Here is a 25,563-nt window from a genome sequence, read left to right as displayed (position 1 = left end):
GCTAGTAAAGGTTATCATGTAAACAAATAAAGGATATTGTAATACTGTAATGATGGTGTAGAAATCACTTTTAATTGTAGTATAAAAGTTAAAAATCCAAAAATATAAAAAGCAACTAATTACAAAAATGTGTTAATGGACTTACCTTGTCGAAAGGTGTATATTGTGACATCAAAAACATAAAGTATGACAAGGAAGTATATTGTATTGTAGACTGTACATTATTGATGATAATTTGCTATTAGCTTAAAATAGGCTTTTATAACTATAAGATGTCTATGGAATACTTCATAATAACCACAATATAAAAACACATACAGAAAAAAAAAACAGTGAAAAGAGAATCAGATCTAGAAGAGCCAAGGCCGTTTTGCACAAAAAAAAAAAAAAAAAACCCAAAACTAGAAGAATCACATTACCTGACTTCAAATTATACTCCCAAGCTAAATGAACCCAAAAGCATAATAATGGCATAAAAGTAGACACATAGGCCAATGGAACACAATGGAGAACCCAGAGATAAATCCATACATTAATAGTCAAGTCATTTTCAACAGAAGTGCCAAGAATATACATTGGGGAAATAACAGTATGTTCAATAAATTGTTGTGGGAAAACTGGATATCCATGTGCAGAAAAATAAAACTAGACCCCTGTATCTTGCCATATACAAAAATCAAAATGGATTAAAGACTTAAATCTAAGACTTGAAACTATAATAATATTAGAAGAAAACATTGGGGAAACACTCTAAGACGTTGATCTGGGTAAAGACTTCCTGAGTAGCACCTCAAAAGTAAAAGCAACCAAAGCAAAAATGAACAAATGGGATCACATCGAACTAAAAAGCTTTTGTACAGCAAAGAAACAATCAAGAAAGTGAAGAGACAACCCACAGAATGAAAGTAAATATTTATGAATTACCCATCTGATAAGAGATTAATAACCAGAATATATAAAGAGCCCCCCAAAAACACAATAGGATCAAAAAATAATTTGATTTAAAATGGCCAAAATATCTAAAAAAAAAAAAAAGAGCTGAATAGATACTTCTCAAAAGAAGATATACATATGGCAAACACGTATATACAAAAATGCTCTACATCACTAATCATCAGAAAAATGAAAATCGAAACAACAGGGAGATATCTCAACCAGTTAAAATAACTTTTATCTAAAAGACAGGCAATAATGAATTCCTGTCTTTTAGGTAACAGGCCTGTGGAGAAAGGGGAACCCTTCTGAGGATAAAGTGAGGATGGTTAGTGGGTACATAAATGGAATGACTAAGATGTGGTATTTGGTAGCACAATAGGTTGACTATAGTTAAAAAAATTTTTGTATATTGTATAATAGCTAAGAGTGGAATTAAAATGTTCCTTACATACCAAAAAGATAAAAGCTTGCAGTTAAGGCTACTCCCAATTACCCTAATTTGATCATTTCACATTGTATGCCTATATCAAAACATCCCATGTGTCCCATAAATGTATACAATTATTATATACCCATAACAATTTAAACAAACTTTTTCAAAATCAGTAAAACTCAAAGACAGCAAGATGGGAAAAGAGAAACTGAAATACTACAAACCAGAGATAAAATAATTAACAAAATTGAAATAGTAAGTTCTTCCATATCAATAATCACCTAAATGTAAATAGATTAAATTTGTCAATCACCATACAGTTAGTGGTTGAAAAGATTATAAACAGGACCCAACTATATGCTGTCTACAACAGACTGACTTTCGATTTAAGGACACACATAGGCTGAAAGTGAAGGGATGGAAAAAGATATTCTACGCAAATAGTAATCAAAAGAGTGCAGGGGTGGTTATGCTAATATCAGAAAAAATATATATATATAAGTCAAAAATTATCTCAAGGGACAAAGAAACACATTATATAATGATAAATTGATTAATGTATCAGTAAGATATAATACATATATATGAATATATAAAAATATATAAAATAAATGTCTATCCACCTGCCATTAGAACACCTGAATACATAAAGGAAATATTAAATATGAAGGAAATATTAACAGAACTGAAGGGAGAAATAGACAACGATACTATAGTAATAAGAGATTTCAGTACACCACTTTCAACAACGATATTTCATTCAGACAGAAAATCAATAAGGAAATAGTGAACTTGAACAACTGTATAGACCAAATGGAACTCAGGTATATCTACGGAACATAAATTCAACAGTAGCAGAATATATATTCTTCTCAAAGGCACACAGAACCGTCTTCAGGATATGTCACATGTCAATTGAAAATGCATACATACACATATATTCAACCTCACACACATCTGTGTTCGTATATAGTTCATGGAAGTTTTGAATAATCATGGAATCATAGTTTTCTAAAGACACATTTGTGAAAATGGCTGACAAATTTCCCTATCAGTTTTAACGTTACATCGACACTTTGGGCACGCTCATTTTGGTGGTACTATTGTATTTGGAGGATTATTACATTTAGATATTAATTTATGACAACTAAATTAAAAATAAACGCTAAAGCCACAGTGAACATAAAACAAAACAGTATTAGAGCTCCCCCTAGTGTCATGTAACAGCTGCAGCTAACATGCTTGTGCAAATACCATGTTAACGTTTCTAAGCAGTTGAGCCTTGAGGTTAACACCACGGATAATTAAAAAACTTCTACGTCTTATTTCTCGTAATTGATCTTTTAAAGTCTATATTATATAGTTAGTTAATTCTGTAAAACATTAAATAGAGAAGCTGTTTACAAAAAGAAAAAAAAATTGGGCAACCATTTCTCTCTAGCACTTGAATTTTTTCAGGGTGACTTTTTTGTTGTTGTTCTTGAAAAGAATGTTTGAGAATATTTACCATCAAGTAGAATCTTAGAATTTTAGATCTGAAACAGACTTTTGAGTTCAATTCTTTCAAAATTTTATTACCCAGTTAAAAATCTGAGAGATGAAAGTGTTTGCTAAAATTTGTACAACCAGGTTCTAACAGGATCTAGATTAGAACCTAGGTTGATGTCCACTGTATTGGCTATTCCACTGTTGTACACTCCATCTCTGTTATTTACAAGTTAGTTGAGTACGTCGGACCACAATTTGATTATTTTGTTTCCAATTTTTAAAGAAAGTTAAAGTTTTTGCAGAAGAAAATTATTAGAAGATAATTCATGTAAGAAACATTATTAATTTCATACATTATGGGTATTTGTACTTAAACAAATTATTAGATAATTCTTATTTTGAATATCATGACCACAATCATTAGTTTTGTATAATAAAAACGACTGCATTGATTTTCAGTCTGTTAAATATTTCACTCACTTGCCTGGATATTTTGGTAAGCAGTTACCCTACCGAATAGTGAAACTTCCTTTGCAAACATTATAACCATGAGAAAATTATGACAGTGAAAGAAATTGACCTAACAATTGCATCTTGCCTTTAACCTCCAAATTGCTCTTGGTTATTCCTGGGTGTGGGCCAAGCTAATTTTGGGGAAAATTTAGTTTACAGTTTAAAGGATAATAGCCTTTCCTAAGACTAAACCATCAACGCAATTCTTTCCTCATCCATTTTAAATGCCTTACCAATTTTATTAATAAGATAGTAAAGCTTTACTACAGGAAGAGAGTAAAGGGTACAATCTCAAAGACTTTCAAAATCTTTATTTTTTGAGACAGAGTCTCGCTCTGTCGCCCAGGCTGGAGTGCAGTGGTGCAATCTCGGCTCACTACAAGCTTCGCCTCCCGTGTTCACGCCATTCTCCTGCCTCAGCCTCCTGAGTAGCTGGGACTACAGGCGCCCACCACCACGCCTGGCTAATTTTTTGTATTTTTAGTAGAGACGGGGTTTCATCGTGTTAGCCAGGATGGTCTCGATCTCCTGACCTCGTGATCCGCCTGCCTCGGCCTTTCAAAATACTGGGATTACAGGCGTGAGCCACCGCGCCCTGCTGTATTGAGGTGATCATTTTAGGATCATTCAGAAAGGGTCATTTTCTTTTTTCTTTTTTTCTTTTTTTGAGACAGAGTCTGGCCCTGTCACCCAGACTTGCAGTGGTATGATCTCCGCTCACTGCAACCTCCACTTCCAGGGTTCAAGTGATTCTCCTGCCTTAGCTTCCTGAGTAGCTGACACTACAGGTGCACACCACCATACTAGGCTAATTTTTGTATTTTTAGTGCAGACGGTGTTTCACTGTGCTGGCCAGGCTGATCTAGAATTCCTGATCTCAAGAGATTTGCCTGCCTCAGTGATGGGATTACAGGTGTGAGCCACCGTGCTCGGGCGACTCATTTTAGAATAGTATATGTCTGGTGTATGTATGAATTGTCAATAATGGTTTCATTGTGTCTATCCCTTTCTTATCTTAGGTTCTATAAGGACATACAATAGTAGACTTGTAAACAAAACTATTTAAACCCATCATGATACCCAGGTCTGTGAAAAGTGACAAGAGAAATGTGTGATTGAGGCATAAGTCTCAATCACTGAGGTTTATTAAGCCCGACTTAGGGCATTTCCAGGAATAATATGAGCCATAAGCACATGTGTGGTTGTTTTTCCCAAAGAGGTTTTCAGGTTTAGTGTTTTGCCATAAGGTTTAAGCATCATAAACTATAAACTCTACCATAAACATTTCCTTAAGGGGTGATGGGGAGAGGCATGTAAGAAGAGGGACAGGCAGGCAGTAAGGTGAATAGTTACATTCCGGTGGGACTTCAGTTAGTGCCCAGTAAATCCACATTTAACATAAGGTAATGTGGATGTCTGCAGAAGAAAAGAGAGTTAAGGAAGAGTCAATTATGCAAAGTCTCTGAGTATGGGTATAGGAAATGAGCCTTGACTTTGTTCTGCACCTGGGAAGATAAATGTGTAATCGGTGTGGAATTTTAGGAGGTAGACTTAGATTGCAGACCTAAAGTTACAATTGGTGTGTCTTTGTTAATGGGAAGCTAGCAAAGAATTTGCCTATGAATAATCTGCGGGGGCAGCCCTTCCCAGATGCCTGAGGCTTTTTACCTTTCCATGGAGACTTGGTTGACCCATAATGTTACTAACAGCTATTCATTTGGAAGAGGGTATTGTAATGAGTCAGCTTCAGGGCTTAATCTTCATTTTTGCATACATTTGGAGGGTTCTGAGATTTTAATTTTTATTTACATAAGCTTTCTTTATAATGGAAGATCTGTTTTTGGCCAATGGGTGATACTTTAAGGATGTGCTTTTTCAAAGAATTTAGCCAGCAATGTCAAGAAACTGTAATAGAAGATTTATAGATGAAACCTGCATATTCATGGTACTATTATATTCACTACAGTGAAGTTTATGTTATATAAGAAAGTAGTTATCCACCAACAATGAAAACATATAATCTACCATCCAAGAAGAGAAACTGAAGAATACAAAATAAATTGATCCATGATTGGTTTGCTCAGAAAACACTAGTTGTTTTTGTGCAAAAACAGTAATTATATCTTCAACATTAAATAATGGAAAACAAACTTGTGAAAAGAGACTGCAGCTTTTTGGTCAAAATAATTAAGTATACTAAAGCAGTTTAGATACACAAAACAAATTGAGGATGCCACTTTTTTTAAAGAGCAAGAAACTATGGAAAGCATGTAGAAAGTGATCTTAACCAAATCAGTGAGTTATTACTATAGAGAAAATCAAAATATGGGAATTATGGATTATTTTATGTGAAAGGAAAATAAAATCTTGGGACTCTAAACTCACTACGCCACAGGGAAAAGTTAAACTTGGGAACTGAGTCACACAAAACTGCCTCCCGTTTTGTTCTTAAATGGACAGCTGCAAAGATAGAAGGCAGCATACCTCCCCAGGGATTCTTTCCACAATTTGCTCACAAGGAAATTCCTGTGGGCCCCAAGATCTTTAGCCTAAAACAGAGTTCTTTTAAGTTTTGCCTTGACAATGTAAATCAACAGCTTATCTTCACAGAACAAAGGCAGGACTGAAAGTCCTCCTTCCACTCCCTGAGACAAATGCATATTTGCCTCCTCTACTCTGTATTTACTTTATCTTATGGAAAAATCCAGATTCACTGAGTGTGAGACATGCATGGTTGACTGTTCCTCTACCCACTCTTTTCACATGTAAAATGTGAATTCAGTGAACACCATTAAAAGCCTCAGAGGAATGCAACCGCTTCAAGTCTTTTATTTATTCTGCCTCTTTTCTTCCCTCTTTCCCCTATTTAAAGCTTTTTCCCCTTTAAGCATTGAAGTTTTCAAACTCTCTTTGGAATAAGCATGGATCACAGATGTTCCTGTGATTTTGTGTTCCTTTTTCCCAGGCACGTCCTCAACTGTGGCAAAATAAACCTCTAAATTGATTGAGATTTGTCCCAGTCATTTCCTTTGGTTTTATAGTTACATGGGAAAAATTATTTAAAAAGCCAAGAAAGTATGTCTGGAACATACTTTCTTAAATTTAAAGCTTAAATTGAAAGCTTAAATTCAAATTGAAGCATAAATCATATACTTTTCTCCTGGGTGGCTTTCCCAGTGCTAAGGTTCTCTAGTGTATCAATGATGCCATCACATTTAGACAAAAAGAGACTCAGGCAGCTGAACATTTGTCTTATATTTGAGTTTAAATGAGGGCCTCTTAAGCTTGGACATGATTTTGTTAAGTTCTTTGAACAGCGCCTTTGTGGAAACACACTGATTAGAAGGTGATCTAGTAAAAGAAGACATGTAGAAAAGACTTTTCTTTTTTTCTTTTTTTAATGTTCCCAGAATAATGATCAAAGTGCTACAGATCTCATTGGGAATTTGTATTCACTAACAACTATTATTCTGATTTAACCACCTTGTCATCAAGAGAAGGGTCAAGTGAGTTTCTGAAGATCTGGTAATTAGCTAAAGGTATAAACTTATACTGAACTCTACTATTTTTTTCTTTAAATAATTAAATCTACTTTTGATATCAGGAGTTCTTATCTCTGATTTGATCAAGGCTAGTCATTTTTAATTAATTGAAAAAGCAAATTAATATAAAACATGAATCATAATGCATGAGTACTTTAAATGCTGCATTTGAAATTTAAACAAACACACAAATACAAACATACCATTTGACGTACAGCCAATGCCGTTCTAGGGCTACAGTTCCCAGTTGGAGTGCTACATAATTTTAGAGTAACTCATCATTTATGTTAGCTTTTTTTTTTTTTAATGGAGTAAGAAGCTAAAGAACATTGCAAAGCAATCTGAGGGCAGAATCACTTAGAAATTTATTTATCCTTGTCCCCCTCCCCAGTATTTTACAACAAAGTTACCTATATCTTATTCAGCAGAATCTGTTTTTTCGGTTATTTGCCTTTGATCTGTCAGCTCAAAATATTGATTTAAATTTTCATGAAGCAACTCTCTTTCCTGTTATATTTCCTTGGTTTGCACAGCACTCAATTGAATTATGTAATTTCAAGTAGCTAGAATATACTGGCTTAGTGACTATGATAGTTTGCATTTTTTCATTTTTTTTTTAGCAAATATTTGTGTACCCCTGCCTCCCACTGTGGGCAGAGAATGTTTCCATGTCCCACCAATGTTGGGTTTGGGTATTTGACTTGATTTGATCAATGAGAAGTTAGTGGTGTTATTTAAACATAGGCTTGAAATTACATGCTCTCCTGCTTTTCTGTCATCAGAACAAGAATGAAATGTTCTGTACAGCTGCTTCTGCCGGAAGAATGAGAAATACATTGAGCAGAGCTATCCCAGTTGACGCAAATGTGTAAGCAATACAAAACATGCTACTACTGTATGTCACTGAGTTTTGAGGTATTTGTCACACACTAATAGATGATCATGCAAGAAATAAGCTCAAATGAGTTTAAGAAAGGCTTCTATTGAACTTGTGAGAGCAGATATATGTGGACTAAGATTCTTATTAGCTGTAAGTATGAGGATATCATGGCAACAAAAAGTAAAAACTAAGAAGAATCTTATTTTCATGTGCCCCAGGTTTTTTCATCCTCTGCTTGTTTTATTCTTCTTTCTAATCAAGCATAACTTGACCAACAATGTTTATCACCATAGTGTTGGGTCTAAAGATGCTGCTGCATGACACAGTGTTACTTCAAAGTTAATTCAGAAAGACCATATTCTGATTTTTTTCTACAGCCATTATTGTTAAACCTGTCACTAAATTTGTCTTCTAAAAATCCTAATGATCTTCTGATCTTACTATAAAAAAGCTCTATTAATCTGGGTTGCTCAGTATTTTGTTTCCTTATCTACTCACGATCTCATGTTAATGCCTAACCTAGGTGTCTTCCGTATTGCTCTTGAACCATGCTCCTCATGTTAGACTAAGACATTTCTAGATCCTTACAGGGCAATGACATGAGGTATAACATTGATTAACTGCAGAGGACGACTGACATGACAGAAACACACTCACATGTTACAGTTCACATGGCTCATATTCCTGGCTCCTAGCTTTTAGCCTGCTTTGCTTCATGCCCAGTAGATCCTGTTCAATCACTGACACTTTTCACAGCTAACTACCTCAATGAAACAAGTGAAAAAGGGAAGAGGAAGGTCATTTTTAAGTTCTTTTCATGTGACCCCCTTAGGCAGTTCATACATGGATGTTTGCTTTCTTCCAGATTAGTCAGCATTTCTCTCTGACTTTCTCTTTTTCAACTAGTTGGAGAAAAACTTCTATTTTATGAGATTGGGGCATGCCTAGCTAGTCTCCCTGTTTTAAGGTCAACTATATCATATAAAATAAACTAATCATGGGAGTAAAACCATCATCTTACAGACCCAGGGATTATATAGGACATATACACCATGAAGAGGGAAATCTTGGTGGTCTTAGAATTTTGTACACTTTAGGAATATTCATAATTAAATTAATAACTTAATTTGTAAAGTACTAAATTATGAATAATCATAATTAAATTAATTTAATCCATAATTAGGTTATCAATAATTAAATTACACGGTGATGTTCAAAAATTTTATTGAATGTATTTCTTTCCCTTTCTGTCAAAAGGCTCCCAAATAAGATATAGATGAGTATCCCTAAATATCTTTTTTTTATTATTTTTGAGATGGTCTTGCTTTGTCACCCAGGCTGCAGTGCACTGGCACGATCACGGCTCACCGCAGCCTTGAACCTCCTGGGCTCAAGCGATCTTCCCACCTCAGCCTCACTAGTAACTGGAACTACAGGCATGCACCACTATACCCGGCTAATTATATTTACTTTTGTAGAGATGCGATTTGGCCATTTGGTCCAGGCTGGTCTCAAACTCTTGACTTCAAGCAATCTGGCACCTTGGCCTCCCAAAGTGCTGGAATTATGGGCATAAGCCACTGCACTCAGCATGAGTATCCCTAAATATAATTTATACATTTCCTTCCAGTTTTGCAATAAACTCACTTTTTAACATTTCACTACCTAGAAGAGCATTCTTGCCTTTATCCAAAGTTATGATTCTAATCTGCCTAAAATTAAGGAAAAAATCAGAATCAGTCAGGGCCAAGATGGCCGATCAGAAGCAGCTATTGTGTGTGGCACTCACAGTGAGGAACAAAAGGGGTGAGTAAATGCAGCACCTTCAACTGAAACATCCAGGAACTTACACTGGGACTGTTCAGGGAAACTACTCAACCCATGAAGAATGAAGAAAAGGAGGGCAAGGAGACAGCCTACCTGAAAGCAACATCAAGCCAAGGGAATTCCCACCCCCAGCCAAGGAAAGTGGTAACTGAATGTATGACCTGGGAAACCACGCTTCTCCTATGGATTTTTGCAACCTTGGATCAGGAGAGCCCCTCATTAACTAACTCCATCAGGGCCCTGGGTCTGACACACAGAGCTGTGTGGAGTCTCAGCAGAGCTGCTGCTGAGGCATGCACAGAGACCCAGGAGTTGTAAATATTCATGCCTGGGATGCCCAGCAAAGGTGACTGCAATTCAGGCAAGGCAGGAGGACTGTACGTACCACTAGGAAGCTGACTGAATCCAGGGGCCAAGCAGTGTCACTCGGTGGGCCCCACCTCCACAGCACCTCATAAGATAAGACTGACTGAATTGGAATTCTAGCCAGGCACTGGCAACAGGGTCGTGCCTACTTGAGACAGGAAGGAGCTCCTGGAGGGAGGGGAGGACTGCCACCTTTGTTGTTTGGACAACTCAGCCATTCCAGCCTGCAGGCTTTGGAAAGTCCAAACCAACTGGGGCAGAAGTGGTTTCCCAGCACTGTATAGCTGCTTTGCCAAGGTGTGACCAGATTGCTTCTTTAAACAGGACCCTGATCTGTTCTTCCTTGCTGGGTGGGACCTCTCAGTCGAGGTATCCGGCCACTCCTGCCCATGCTCTATGGCTGAAAGATTTTGGATTTCTCCCTGGGATGGAGTGGGATGAGGTGGGCTGCCACCTCTGCTGTTTGGGCATCTCAGCCTTGGAGAGCCCAAACTGATTGGGGGCTGAAGGAATCCCCCAACACAGCACAGTTGCTTTACCAAAATGCAGCCAGACTGCTTCTTTAAGTGGGTCCTTGATTCCTTTCCTCCTGACTGGGTTGGATCTCCTATCTGGGGTCTCCAGTCACTTCCTACAGGTGCTTTTGGGCCAGCAACAGTTCTGTACCCCCTGGGATGGAGCTCCCAGAGGAAGGGACAGGCTGCCATATTAGCTGTTTCACAACCTTCACTGGTGATACCTCCAGGTACTGGAAAATCCAAGGTGACTAGGGTTTATGGCAGACCCCCAGCAAACTGCAACAGATCTATGGAAAAGTGGCCAGACTGTTAATAGAAAAGCAAACAAACAAAATTAAAAAAAAAAAACACAAAATCTCCATCCAAACGTCAGCACCCTCAAGGATTGAAGGTAGATAAGCCCACAAAGATGGGAAAGAATCAGTGCAAGAATGCTGAAAACTCAAAAAGCCATAGCGTCCTCTTTTCTCCAAGTGACCACAACACCTCTTCAGCAAGAGTTCAGAAATGGACTGAGATTGAGATGGCTGAAATGACAGAAGTAAGCTGCAAAATGTGGGTAAAAAGGAGCTTCACTAAGCTAAAGGAACATGTTGTAACCCAAAGCAAGGAAGCTAAAAATCATGATAAAACAATGCAGAAGATGACAGCCAAAATATTCAGTATAGAGAAGAACATAACTAACCTGATAGAGCTGAAAAACACACTACAAGAACTTCACAATTCAATCACAAGTATTAACAACAGAGTACATCAAGCAGGGGAACGAATCTCAGAACTTGAAGACTGTCTTTCTGAAATAAGACAGGCAGACAAGAATAGAGTAAAAAGAATGAAAAGGAATGAACAAACCCTCCAGGAAATATAAAATTATGTGAAGAGACCAACTCCACAACTGATTGGTGTACTTAAAAGAGACAGGGAGAATGGAACCAATTTGGAAAACATATTTCAGGATATCATAGAGAGGAGCTTCCCCAACCTAGCTAGATGAGCCAACATCCAAATTCAGGAAATCCAGAGAACCCCAGTAAGATACTCAATGAGAAGATCATCCCCCAGACACATAATTATTAAAGACTCTAAAGTCTAAATGAAAAAAAAACATGTTAAGGGCAGCCTGAGAGAAAGGCCAGCTCACCTGCAAAGACTAACAGTAGACCTCTCAGTGGAAACTCTGAAAGCCAGAAGAGATTGGGGGCCAATATTCAACATTCTTAGAGAAATGAAATTTCAACCTAGAATTTCATATCCAGCCAAAATAAGCTTCATAAGCAAAGGAGAATAAGATCCTTTTCAGATAAGCAAGTGCTGATGGAATTCGTTACCACCAGACCTGCCTTACAAGAACTCCTGAAGGAAGCACTAAGTATGGGAAGGAAAAACTTAACAGCCGCTACAAAAACACACTGAAGTACATAGACCTGTGACACTTTGAAGCAACCACATAAGTCTGTGAAATTAGCCAGCTAGTGTCATGTTGACAGGATCAAATTCACATATAACAATATTAACCTTAAATGTAAATGGGCTAACTGCCCCAATTAAAAGCCACAGAGTGACAAACTCAATAAAAAAACAAGACCCATTGGTATGCTGTCTTTGAGACCCATCTCACATGCAAAGACACACATAGGCTCAAAATAAAGGGATGGAAAAAAATTTACCAAATCAATGGAAAAAAAAAAAAGTGCAAAGGTTGCAGTCTTAGTTTCTAACAGAACAGACTTTAAAGCAACAAAAATCAAAAAAGACAAAGAAGGGCATTACACAATGGTAAAGGGTTCAATTCAACAAGAAAAGCTAAGTGTCCTAAATATATATGCACTCAACACAGGAGCACCCAGATTCATAAAGGAAGTTCTTAAGAGACCTTCAAAGAGACTTAGACTCCCACACAGTGATAGCAGGAGATTTTGATGCCCCACTAACAATATTAGACAGATCATTGAGAAAAAAATTAAAAAAGATATTCAGGACCTGGACTCAGCTCTGGATCAAATGGACTTTACAGATATTTACAGAACTCTCCAACCCAAAACAATAGAATATATATTCTTCTCATTGTCACACAGCACTTACTCTAAAATTGATCAGATAATCAGAAGTAAAACACTTCTCAGGAAATGCAAAACAACTAAAATAATAAAAACAGTCTCTCAGACCAGGGCACAATCAAATTAGAACTCAAGATTAGGCTGGGCATGGTGGTTCATGCCTGTAATCCCAGGATTTTGGGAGGCCAAAGTGGGGGGATCACCTGAGGTCAGGAGTTCAAAACCAGCAGGACCAATATGGTGAAACCCCATCTCTGCTAAAAATACAAAAATTAGCCAGGCTGTGGTGGTACATGCCTGTAATCCCAGTTATTCAGGAGGCTGAGGCAGGAGAATCAGTGAACCCAGGAGGTGGAGGTTGCAGTGAGCTGAGATTGCACCACTGCACCCCAGCCTGGACAAAAGAGGGAGACCCTGTCTCCAAAAAAAAAACAAAAAAAACAAAAAACCCAAGATTAATAAATTCACTCAAAACCACACAACTGCATGGAAATTGAAAAATCTGCTTTTGAATGACTTTTGGGTAAATAATGAAATTAAGGCAGAAATAAAAAAGTTCCATGAAACTAATGAGAACAAAGAAACATTGTACCAGAATCTCTGAGCTGCAGCTAAAACAGTGCTAAGAGGGAAATGTATAGCACTGAATGCCCACATCAAAAAGCTAGAAAGATCTCAAATCAACATCCTAACATCACAACTGAAAGAACTAGAGAAACAAGAGCAAACAAACCTGAAAGCTAGCAGAAGATAAGAAATATCCAAGATCAGAGCTGAACTAAAGGAGATAGAGACAAAAAATAAAAACCTTCAAAAGATCAACAAATCCAGAAGCTGGTTTTCTGAAAAAAATAAAATAAAATAAATAGACTGTTCACTAGACTAATAAAGGAGAAAATAGAGAAGATTTAAATAAACACAGTCAGAAATGATAAGGGAGGCATTACCACTGACCCTACAGAAATAAAAGTAACCATCAGAGAATATTACAAACACCATTATGCACATAAACTAGAAAATCTAGAAGAAATTGATAAATTCCTGGACACATATACCCTCCCAAGACTGAACAAGGAAGTAATTGAATCCCTAAACAGATGAATAAAAAATTCTGATACTGAGGCATTAATAAATAGCCTAGCAACCAAAAAAGCCCAAGACCAGATGGATTCACACTGAATTTTATCAGATCTACAAAGAAGAGCTTATACCATTCCTACTGAACCTATTCCAAAAAATTGAAAAGGAGGGACTCCTCCTCATTCTATGAGGCCAGCATCCTCTTGATACCAAAACCTGGCAGAGATACAACAACAAAAAAAGAAAATTTCAGGCCAATATCCCTGATGAACACAGATGCAAAAATCCTCAACAAAATACTGGCAAACCGAATCCGGCAGCATTTCAAAAAGCTTATCCAGGCCAGGCATGGTGGCTCACGCCTGTAATCCCAGCACTTTGGGAGGCCAAGGCAGGCGGATCACAAGGTCAGGAGATCGAGACATTCCTGGCTAACATGGTGAAACCCCATCTCTACTAAAAATACAAAAAATCTGCTGGGCGTGGTGGCGGGTGCCTATAGTCCCAGCTACTCGGGAGGCCGAGGCAGGAGAATGGCATGAACTCGGGAGGTGGAGCTTGCAGTGAGACGAGATAGCGCCACTGCACTCCAGCCTGGGCGACAGAGTGAGATTCCATCTCAAAAAAAAAAAAAAAAAAAAGCTTATCCACCATGACCAAGTAGGCTTCATCCCCAGGATGTAAGGTTGGTTCAACGCATGGTTCAACAAATCAGTAAACATGATTGATCACATAAACGGAACTAAAGATAAAAACGACATTCAACACACCTTCATATTAATAACTCTCAATAAACTAGATATTGAAGGAACAAACATCAAAACAATAAGACCCATATATGACAAACTCACAGCCATTATCATACTGAATGGGCAAAACCTGGAAGTATTCCTCTTGAAAACTGGCAAAAGATACGGATGTCTTCTCTCGCCACTCCTATTCAACACAGTATTGGAAGTTCTGGCCGGAATATTGAAGAGAAAGAAATAGAGTATTCAAATAGGAAGAGAGGAAGTCAACCTATCTTTGTTTGTAGATAACACAATTCTATGTCTAGAAAACCCCATAGTCTCAGCCCAAAAACTTCTTAAGCTGATAAGCAACTTCAGCAAAGTCTTGGGATACAAAATCAATGTGCAATAATCACTAGCATTCCTATACACCTCAAAAATGAACTCCCATTCACAACAGCCACAAAAAGAATAAAATACCTAGGAATACAGCTAACAAGAGAAGTGAAGGATCTCTACAAGGAGAACTACAAACCACTGCTCAAAGAAATCAGAGCTGACACAAGCAAATGAAAGAATATATCATGCTCATGAATAGGAAGAATCAACATCATTAAAATGAGCATACTGCCCAAAGCAATTTATAGATTCAATGCTATTCCCATCAAACTACCACTTACATTATTGACAGAAATAGAAAAAACTATTTTAAAATTCATATGGAACCAAAAAGGAGTCCAAATAGGCAAGGCAATCCTAAGCAAAAAGAACAATGCTGGAGGCATTATGCTACCCAACTTCAAAGTATACTACAGAGCTACAGTAACCAAACATCATGATATTGGTACAAGAACAAGCACGTAGATCAATGGAATAAAACAGAGAACCGAGGAATAAGACTGTACACTTACAACCATCTGATCTTCAACAAACGTGACAAAAACAAGTAATGAGGAAAGGATTCCCTATTTAATTAGTGGTGCTGGGAGAATTGACTAGCCATATGCAGAAAATTGATACTGGACCTCTTTCTTACACTACATACAAAAATCAGTCAAGATGGATTGACGACTTAAATATAAAACCCAAAACTATAAAAATCCTAGAAGAAAACCTGGGCAATACCATTTAGGACATAGGCATGGGCAAAGATTTCATGATGAAGATGCCAAAAGCAATTGCAATGAAAGCAAAAATTGACAAATGGGATTTAATTAAAGAGATTCTGCACAGTAAAAGAAACTATCAACAGAGTAAACAGTCTACAGGAGAAAATTTTTGTAATCCATTCATTTGACAAAGGTCTAATATCCAGAATTTATAAGGAACTTAAACAAATTTACAAGGAAAAAAACAAATAATCCCATTAAAAAGTGAGCAAAGACACGTCTCAAAAGAAGACATACATGTGCCCAATAATCATATGAAAAAAAGCTCAACACCACTGATGATTAGGAAAATACAAATCAGCCAGGCGTGGTGGCTCATGCCTGTAATCCCAGCACTTTGGGAGGCCAACGTGGGTGGATCATGAGGTCAGGAGATCAAGACCAGCCTGACCAACATGACCAATATAGTGAAACCCAGTCTCTACTAAAAATTCAAAAATTAGCCAGGCATGGTGGCAGGCGCCTGTAATTCCAGCTACTCAGGAGGCTGAGACAGGGGAATTGCTTGAACCCAGGAGGTGGAGGCTGCAGTGAGCTGAAATCATGCCACTGCACTCCAGCCTGGGTGACAGAGTGAGACTCCGTCAAAAAAAAAAAAAAAAAAAGAAAAGAAAAATACAAATCAAAACCACAATGAGATACCATCTCACACAAGTAGAAACAGCTATTATTAAAAGTCAAAAAATAATACATGCTGGCAAGGTTGGGGAGAAAACCAACCCTTATAGGGTAGGAGTTGGTAGGAGTGTAAATTAGTTCAATGATTATGGAAGACAGTGTGGTGATTTCTCAGAGACCTAGAGACAGAAATAACATTTGATCCAGCAATACCACTACTGGATATATACCCAAAGGAATATAAATCATCTTATTATAAAGACACATGCATGTGTATGTTCACTGTGGCACTATTCACAATAGCAAAGAAATGGCATCAACATAAACGCCCATCTATGATAGACTGGATAAAGAAAATGTGGTCTATATACACTATAGAATACTATGCAGCCATAAAAAGGAATGAGATCATGTCCTTTGCAGGGACATGGATGCAGCTGGAGACCATTATCCTTAGCAAACTAAAGCAGGAACCGAAAACCAAATACCACGTGTTCTCACTTCTAAGTGGGAGCTAAATGATGAGAACACATTGACACATAGAAGGGAACAACATATACTGGGGCCTGCTGGAAGGCCAAGGGTGGAAAGAGGGAGAGAATCGGGAAAACTAATGGATGTTAGGCTTAATACCTGGGTGATGAAATCATCTGTGCAACAAACCCCCATAACACACATTTACATTTGTAACAAACGTGTGCATCCTGCACATGTACTCCTCTGGACTTAAAATAAAAGTTTAAAAAAAGCAGAATCATGAAGAATGACAGAATCACATGTCAAGAGAGTACAAATGTCTTTCTATATGATGGAAATTTCTTCAAAATGTATAATTAATACACTTTTAGTACATGAGTCTGATGACACCAGTTTTAATTACTTGGGGGTATTTTGGCTCTTACTAGTTATTTGCTTTCCTCTATTACATAATGTTGTAAGAGAATCTCTAGATATGTGATGTATCACTTACTGTTCGACTATATGCTTTAAATTGTGTATTCTGAAATGGTTCTGAGAATGGAGTTTGAGTTGTGATTCCTTTTGCTTATTCACCTTAAGCTATTAAATTTGAGAATGTAGAGAACATAAAAATACTGAGTGCCTGAACAGTTTTAAAGAAATCAATAAATGATGGATATTCTCATAGAAAAGCAGAATGCTAGAATAAAAGAACCCAAATCTTTTGCTCACCTGACCTGGATTTAAGCCTCAGATCCACAATTTACTAACTGAGACCTTGAGAAATGTATTTCTTGTTTTTACGTCATGATTTTCTCCCTGTGAAGTGGTGATGGGAATAGCTCACTGCTATGTTATGGTAACTACATGATTAAATAAAATAATCAGTGTAAACAACATCATAAATTTTGAAGGTAGTTTTTTGTCAAATGATTTGTTAAACATTCTACAGAATAAACATTTCTCAAAACAGTCTGTAGCAGTACACCCTTGAATCTTTGAGAAGACATTTCATTGCTTATCTCTTATATATTATCTGCTTTTCTTTTGGGAAATATTGAATTTCTCAATGTTTGTTTTTGAATTAGAATCACAGACTGATGGCTGGCATTTACAGAGAATACTACATCCCATTAATTAGAATGAGTTACTAGAGAATGACAAGCAGAGAAAATGTATTTTTTATGCTGGCTTCAAGTTCTGGAAATTTGAGGCACCAATGGATGATATCTTAGTCCCTTTCAGGAAGTAACACTTAAAATAATTATTCTCTGTTGAGGTGTTACAGGGATTAGTATTTGTGAAACATTCTTAAAATCCCAGTTTAAAGCTATTTTATGAGTATCAAAAAATGATTGCACAAGCTTAGTTTCCAATTCCAGGAAAAGATATGCATGAGCTCCTTATTATCAAATAATTTTGCTGGATGATCCAGCTTAGTGTCATTGTAACAGCCTACCAGTTAACATAAATTTCATTCTTGTAATGTTTACTGGTGGACACTTTTATACTCCAAAGTGCAGAAACAGAACCTGGACAATACAACTGGAGTTTGAAGCAGATAGCCCAAGGCAGAGATCCACAAAGTAATCTAAAAGAATTTCCACGAAAAATTATAAGCGGTAATCTCATTCTCTTAAACTTAAGTTTTAGAAGTAAAATTACTCCATATCACAAGTCCGTATTGGAACTTAAAGAAAATTTCAAATGCATGTCCACCTCCAAGAATCCACCCCTGCCATTCACACATACATTTAGTTCTGTATTTCTGTATAAGTAAATATGAACCAATTTAGATGGAAAACAGAATTCACAACGAGTATATGGATCAGAAAGAAAGATGATATCATAGATGTACTAAAAGGAACGACTTTTATTTATGAAAACCCAGGATGATTTAAAGTAAATTATAAAGATAAAAACTGTAGAAACATTAAGCTGGAAGAGAATTTCATAATAATGCATTGCAAACCGTATAAGAGTCTAAGCCATTTCTTAAAGTTGGAGGTTGGGAATAAAATTTTAAATTTATAATAGTGTGAAGACATTATGGAAATAAGAGACAGCAAACTTTATGTGGAAATATATTTAATTTTACATTGCAAAGCAGAAATAAAAAATCAGAATATACTGGACAGCATTAAATAACACTGCAAAAGTAAGTCTCACCCCATCATCCCTTGACCCCATCAAATTTTTTGCTTGATTTCGAGGTGATCATTGGTGATTTAAAAAGAATTACTTGGATGTTAAAGAATCCTTAACCATTATTCAATCATTAACTTATTGAATCATTAACTTAATTTCAAAGATGATCCCCATAGAAAGCACACATTTTCGGAAAAGGCCAAAGGTGGAATGTAGGCTGCATAACTACATCTCAGAAATGGTGAGCTGAATATAATGACTATTGAACAAAAAAATCAAAGATTCCTGTTGAGCTTCATATCATACCTTAGTGATCTTTGCTCATCCATTTAATTTCTCTCTTACTCAGATTCTTCATAAGTAAAATAGAAATTATAATTACTGTATTGTCTATTTGGCAGGATTGTAATAAATCACTGTGATAAAGCAGTGAAAAAGTAAGTGAGTAATTACTTTGAAAATTAACAAATACATTATATATATGGGATCTAGACCAGGCTACAAGGTATGTAATAATGACAGCTCCTTAAAAGAGTCCCCAGTTAAAAGATAGGGCCACTGTCCATAGGGACAAGTATTGCCTACTGACCCTGTCTGCGCTCAGGGCACATACGGTTGGAACTTTTGTGGACAATTGAAAGGTGGCAGCCAAGCTATGAGCTGGGTTGTGACCTATATGGAATGAATACATTACAATCCAGTGTATTACAGGAAGTGAAAGAAGAGGAAAGGTGAGGCATCTGCATCTACTGTCCTCCACAGCATATGAGTGATGAAAAACAAACAAAAACCATGTACAAATTTTCTGTCTTGCTCATCCTTTTATCTCCAACTCCTACCATAGAATATGATAATTCATAGCTTCTTTATAAGCACCAGTTAAATTTGAGTCTGTTAGAATGGATGTATATATGAGTTTATCAACATTTCTAATCCTTTGTGATTACTTTAGAAAACAAGTAGACAGGACTTTGAGTCTTAAGAATATTTGATTAATCATATTGATCAGTATCTCCAATCCCATTGCTATACTTCATGCATCCAAAACCTCTTAATTTTCATGCCATCTAAGTCACCATTTCAACACTTACTTTACTGATCCTTGTCTTTTCTCATTAATGACTTTTTTTAAAAAAATTAATCAATCTTGTGTATCATCAGTTGGAGAAATCTAGCAAAAAACTTCAAGTAAATATTTCTACTTTGGCTGGTATATTCCAACCAGGTTTTAAATTCCTTCAGGGAGGGCAGGGTCCTATCCATTATTTTAATTAGTTTTTTTGTTGTTGTTTTAGGTTCATGGCAAAATTGAATAGAAAGTACAGAAAGTTCCCATATGCTGCCTCCTCCATTCAGCACACACACACACACATTATCCTTCACTATCCACATTCTACACCACAGGAGCACATTTGTTACATTCACTGAACTTACATTGACATATCATTATCACTTAGAGTCCATAGTCCACGTTAAGGTTAACTTTTGATGTCCTATATTTTATGAGTTTTGACTAAAGTATAATGACATGTATCCTTCTCACTTTAGCTTTTTCCACTTAGTAAATAATATGCATTTAAGATTCTTCCTATATTTCAAAGCCCGATAGCCAATTTCTTTTTGGAGTGGAAACTATACCGCAGTTTATGTGTCCATTCACTTGCTGAAGGACATCTTGGCAACTTCCAAGTTGTGGCAATTATGAATGAAGGTGTTATAAAAACCCACGTGGAGGTTTTACTGTAAAATATTTAAAATAGTTTGGATAAATATGAAGGAGTGTGATTGCTGAATAGTAAGGTAAGGTTATGTTTAGTATTTTTTTTTTCTTTTTATGAAACTGTCTTCCAATGTGGTTGTATCATTTTGGTACATGAATGTTGTTCCATTCCCACCAATAACGAATGAGAGTTCCTGTTGTTTCGCATTCCCACAAGCATTTGGTGTTGTCAGTGTTTTGAATTTTTGCTACTCTAATAGGTGTGTAGTGGTCTCTCATTGTTGTTTTAGTTTGCCATCCCCCAGTGACATATGACGTGAACTTTGTAATGCATTTATTTGTCATCTGCATATCTTCTTTGGTGAGGTGTTTTTCAGTCTTTTGGCCATTTTTTAATTGGGCTATTCATTTTCTCATGGTTGAGCTTTAAGATATTTGCATATTTTGCAAAAGAGTATCCTATCATATATGTATTTTAAAAATATTATCTCTCAGTCTGTGAGTTATCTTCTTCTTCTCCTGACAGTGTCCTTTATAGAGCAAAAGTTTTGAATTTGAATAAAGTGCAATTTATCCATTTCTTTCTTCATGGATTGTGCCTTTGGTGTTGTATCTAAAATGTCGTTGTTAAAACCAATGTCATATAAATTTTCTCCTATGTTACTATTTAGGAGTCTTATAATTTAAAAATGTATATTTAGGTCTATGGCTCATTTAGAGTTAATTTTTGTGAAAGGCACTAAGTCTGTGTATAGTTTCTTCCTGCTTGCTTGCTTTCTGTACTCTTTTTTTTTGCATGTGGATATCCAGCAACATACGTTGAAAAGACTATTCTTTCTCCAACACATTGCTTTTTCACCTTTGTCAAAAAATAGTTGATTATATATGTGGTCTCTTGGTGGGTATTTGATTTGTCTGTTATTTTCTAATACCACAGTCTTATTTATTGTAGCTCATAGTAAGTCTTGAAGTTGGTTAGTGTTAATTGTCTGACTTTGTTCTTCTTCAATATTTTGTTATCTAAGTCTTTTGCTTCCCCATATAAACTTTAAAATTAATCTGTTGTCATAAAATAATATGCTTGGATTTTGATTGATATTGTATTGATTCAACTTAGGAAGAAATTGCATCTTGACAATACTGACTTTTTCCATTTTTATTCTTCCAATAGGAGGTACTGTGATCTGGAGTATATAATGTGAAAAATATATCTGTAAAAAATGAACATACGGAGAGTTCCTTCATATCGGTATCAGTTTACTAGGGCTGCCATAACAAAGTCATACAAATTGAATGGATTTGACAATAGAAATATATTGTCTCCAATTTTGGAGGCGAAAAGCCTAAAATCAAGACGTTGTCAGGTTTGATTCCTTCTCAGGGCCAGGAGGAAGGAATAATCTGCTCCAGACCTCCATCCCAGCATTTGGTGTTTTGCTGGCAATCTTTGGCACTTCTTTGCTTATAGAAGCAGCATCGGCCCATCTGTGTCTTTATCTTCATATGGTGTTCTACCTGTGTACACGTCTGTGTTCAAATATCTTTATATATGGATACTGGTCATGTTCCATTATAAGCCCACCCTATTCTATTATCTCATCTTATTTGGAAATAACCCCATTTACAAATAGGTATTCATTTGGAGGTACTGGGGATTAGGATTCCAACATATAAATATGGCGCAGGGGAAACATGTAATTTAACCATAACAGTACATATAGTATATCCCACAGAACTTGATAATGTGAGAAAAGAAAAGACTATGGCTTTAACCTGATTCCTTGTATACAATAGTCCATTCTCATCCCAGTAGATTGAATTCAGATCCCCTTAGTTTCTTATCTCAAAAACAATCTAAAAACCATGGGTTTTTTATTTATAAATACCATTATACTACCTTAAATTTATTTTACTAATATTTTGTGACATGGGGAATTATAATTCAGTGGTTTAAACTTTACCTCCTCTTCATGTGTTAAACTGTTGGCAAATGATTCTAAAGAAAATCACTTAATATTAGAACTGGAGAGACTTTAGAATTCAGGTCGTTCTCTCCCTTTATTTTACACATGATAAAGAAAGAGATTCATTCTGACTAAAAGACTTGGCTAAGATTACACAGAAAACTATTTCCAATCAGGACTAGAACTTAAGACATATGGCACTCAGATAAGTATAGTTTACATTAGTAGTCTTCAAATCGGTACAATTCAATTTTGTGGTGATGGAGCCAGCTTGTACTGGCTCATGGGAATGTTTGCATTCCTTACCCACTCCAGTAACATCACAGTCGTAGCTTTTAATTGGCCATGATAGAAATAATTACACCATAGAAATCAGAAAACATTGCAAATCAGGGCTCCACCCTTTCCAGAGAAGATTGTTAAACAATTCCTAGCATTCTACTCTCAGAAACTTCTAGGGGCAAGGATTTTTTAAAGTAATAAATTTGCAGTGAAATAATATCTTCTGGAAAACATGGGTATAGCTTAACAATTCTAAAATTGGTATACCTGCACACCGGCATTGAATAATTACGTAAATCACTGGTGGATAGTGGGAACCAGATTTATCACTGCTGAAGTGAAGGATTGCAGATAAACATGAGAGAGGGCTAGAATAATCCCTGTCTTATGGGATTAGAGTTGGAGACACCAGGATGAACTCCTGTTTACTTTAATGTAGCTACAGATATATATATATGTAGAAATATTTACAGATATTTATGTCTGTGTATATATTAGTATACACACATACATTTCTCTTCTCTGCCAGCTGAGAAGCATATTTTTGTGCCAGAAATTAAGGAAGTACTGAAAACAAAAACAAAAACAACTCTACAATGATGAGATTATAACAAAGGGACACCAGAGCCAACTGAAAGAGCTCCCAGTGGCCAAAGATGGAATGACTTAAGCAACAAAATAGACAAATGGTAATGAATTATAACCCAAAATAAAAATAAATATCTTTTAATAGTTAGTAATTGTATTAGTCAGTTCTCACACTGCTACAGAAAAATACCAGAGACTAGGTAATTTATAAAGAAAAGAGGTTTAGTTGGCTCACGATTCTGCCGGCTGTACAGAAAGCATGGCAGCATCTGCCTGGCTTCTGAGTAGGCCTCAGGAAACTTACAATCATGGCAGAAAGTGAAGCAGGAGCCCGCATGTCACATGGTCAGAGCAGCAAGTGGGTGGGGGAGATGCCACACACTTTTAAACAACCAGATCTCACAAGTACTCATTATTGCCACAACAGCACCAAGGGGGATGGTGTTAAGCCATGAGAAACTGCTCCTATGATCCAATCACCTCCCACCAGGCCCCATTTCCAACACTGGGGATTACACTTCGATATGAAGTTTATATGGGGACACAGATCCAAATCATATCAGAAATATAAATAAGTGATTGGATACGTAGGTATGTGGGAGAGCAGAGACAAGTCTCCTCTACAAAAGAATTTCATAAAACTTTTGTAGATACTGTGCCTTCCAGGAAATGGCATATAAATTCTCACTCCTTAAGTGTGGACTATGAATACTGGCTTCTTTCCAGAAAGTACAGTATGGTGGAGGGCAGAGGAAATAACTTCATAAAAAGGAAATTTGACAAGTGCTGATAGGAGATCAAGGTCAACATCAACAGAGATAATTCATGTTGATATTATGTACCCTTCATATGATGTGATAAGAATGTCAATTTACCTCTGTGGTTTTCCTCCTGAAAACCAAAAACTACAGTCTAATCATGAGAAAAACATCACACAAATCTAAACTGAGGAATACTGTACAAAATATCTAATCAGTACTCCTTAAAAGAGTTAAGATATCAAAAACAAACGAAATCTGAGAAACTGTCACAGCCGAAAGCAGCCTAAGGAGGCATGAAAATGAAATGCAATGTGTATACTGGATGAAATACTAGGACTTAATAAGGACATTAGGTTAAAAACTAAGGAAATCTGAATAGAGTATAGAATTTAGTTAACAATGTGTCAATATTGGTCTATTAGAACTCTTCTGATGTCAGATGTTAAATACAGAACAAACTGTTCCCGGGTTATATGAGGACTCTACTATTTTTGTAACATCTTTGTAAATCAAACTATTCTAAAATTAACAGTTTACTAAAACATTGATGGAATGTTGATAAAATTATTAAGAAAATGATGATAATTAAGAAGAGTGATATATTTCTGATTGCTAATAAATATACCTACATATTTTTACTTGATTTTGAAGGTTCAAATAACTGAATATTTGAATTGTATTATATTTATACACACACACATATATATACATAAACACATATATATATATGAAAGAAAGATGTAACTGGTTTAAAAATGTAGATATATAACTAATGCAAACTGAAATCTTAGAAATTATTTAACCTTGGGATAAAAAGTTTTAGAAACAAACTTAAACTTAGGACAATGTGACCTGGATTTGTCAAAATATTTTTGGGGTTTCTGAAACAGATATATTTTGAATAAGCTGGTATAAATACTAAACACTTCATGATTTCAGAGTCATTTAAGAGTGTGCTTATCTCATAACACCTTTCAAGAAGACAATTTTTTATTCTTAGTGCAAGACAAGCCTCACATTTCTAGAAATTTTGCAACAGCTTTTCCCCTTTAACTCTGTATAAACATGATCAAGTTATTTATACTTCTTTGTTTTATATTTTGATGTGACTGACAATCTGGTCTTTTTGTTTTTAAGCAATACTATATTCAGTTTGTCTATCTAGTGCAGTATTAGCCATCAAATAAATCACATAGATAGCATCAAATACTTGGTGAAAAAGTAAATAACATTAGTGACATATTGAGAAATGTAAACATGGAAGTTTTATTTTTAAATTCTTGGATACATATGTAGGATGTGCAGATTTGTTACATAGGTAAAAGTGTGTCATGGTGGTTTGCTACACCTATCAACCTATCACCTAGGTATTAATCCCAGCATGCATTAGCTATCTATCCTGATGCTCTCCCTCCCCCTCTACCCACAACAGACTCCAATGTGTGTTTTTCCCCTCCCCGTGTCCGTGTGTTCTCGTTGTTCA

The 25,563-nt window shown here is 36.1% G+C and overlaps 4 annotated features.

Moving 5' to 3' along the window:
* Positions 3,388-4,144: an enhancer, noted in NCBI's record as "NANOG-H3K27ac-H3K4me1 hESC enhancer chr10:55359661-55360417 (GRCh37/hg19 assembly coordinates)". NCBI's record gives its function as "activates a minimal SCP1, AML or CMV promoter by ChIP-STARR-seq in primed H9 embryonic stem cells {active_cell/tissue: H9 hESC(primed)}" and the evidence as "EXISTENCE:reporter gene assay evidence [ECO:0000049][PMID:30033119]".
* Positions 4,145-4,903: an enhancer, noted in NCBI's record as "OCT4-NANOG-H3K27ac-H3K4me1 hESC enhancer chr10:55358902-55359660 (GRCh37/hg19 assembly coordinates)". NCBI's record gives its function as "activates a minimal SCP1, AML or CMV promoter by ChIP-STARR-seq in naive and primed H9 embryonic stem cells {active_cell/tissue: H9 hESC(naive and primed)}" and the evidence as "EXISTENCE:reporter gene assay evidence [ECO:0000049][PMID:30033119]".
* Positions 4,904-5,661: an enhancer, noted in NCBI's record as "OCT4-NANOG hESC enhancer chr10:55358144-55358901 (GRCh37/hg19 assembly coordinates)". NCBI's record gives its function as "activates a minimal SCP1, AML or CMV promoter by ChIP-STARR-seq in naive and primed H9 embryonic stem cells {active_cell/tissue: H9 hESC(naive and primed)}" and the evidence as "EXISTENCE:reporter gene assay evidence [ECO:0000049][PMID:30033119]".
* Positions 5,662-6,420: an enhancer, noted in NCBI's record as "OCT4-NANOG hESC enhancer chr10:55357385-55358143 (GRCh37/hg19 assembly coordinates)". NCBI's record gives its function as "activates a minimal SCP1, AML or CMV promoter by ChIP-STARR-seq in primed H9 embryonic stem cells {active_cell/tissue: H9 hESC(primed)}" and the evidence as "EXISTENCE:reporter gene assay evidence [ECO:0000049][PMID:30033119]".

The sequence above is a fragment of the Homo sapiens genome, chromosome 10 (genome assembly GCF_000001405.40).
Source record: "Homo sapiens chromosome 10, GRCh38.p14 Primary Assembly".
NCBI lineage: Eukaryota > Metazoa > Chordata > Mammalia > Primates > Hominidae > Homo > Homo sapiens.
Note: the sequence above shows the minus strand (reverse complement) of the source record. Positions and strands in the feature narration are given on the sequence as shown.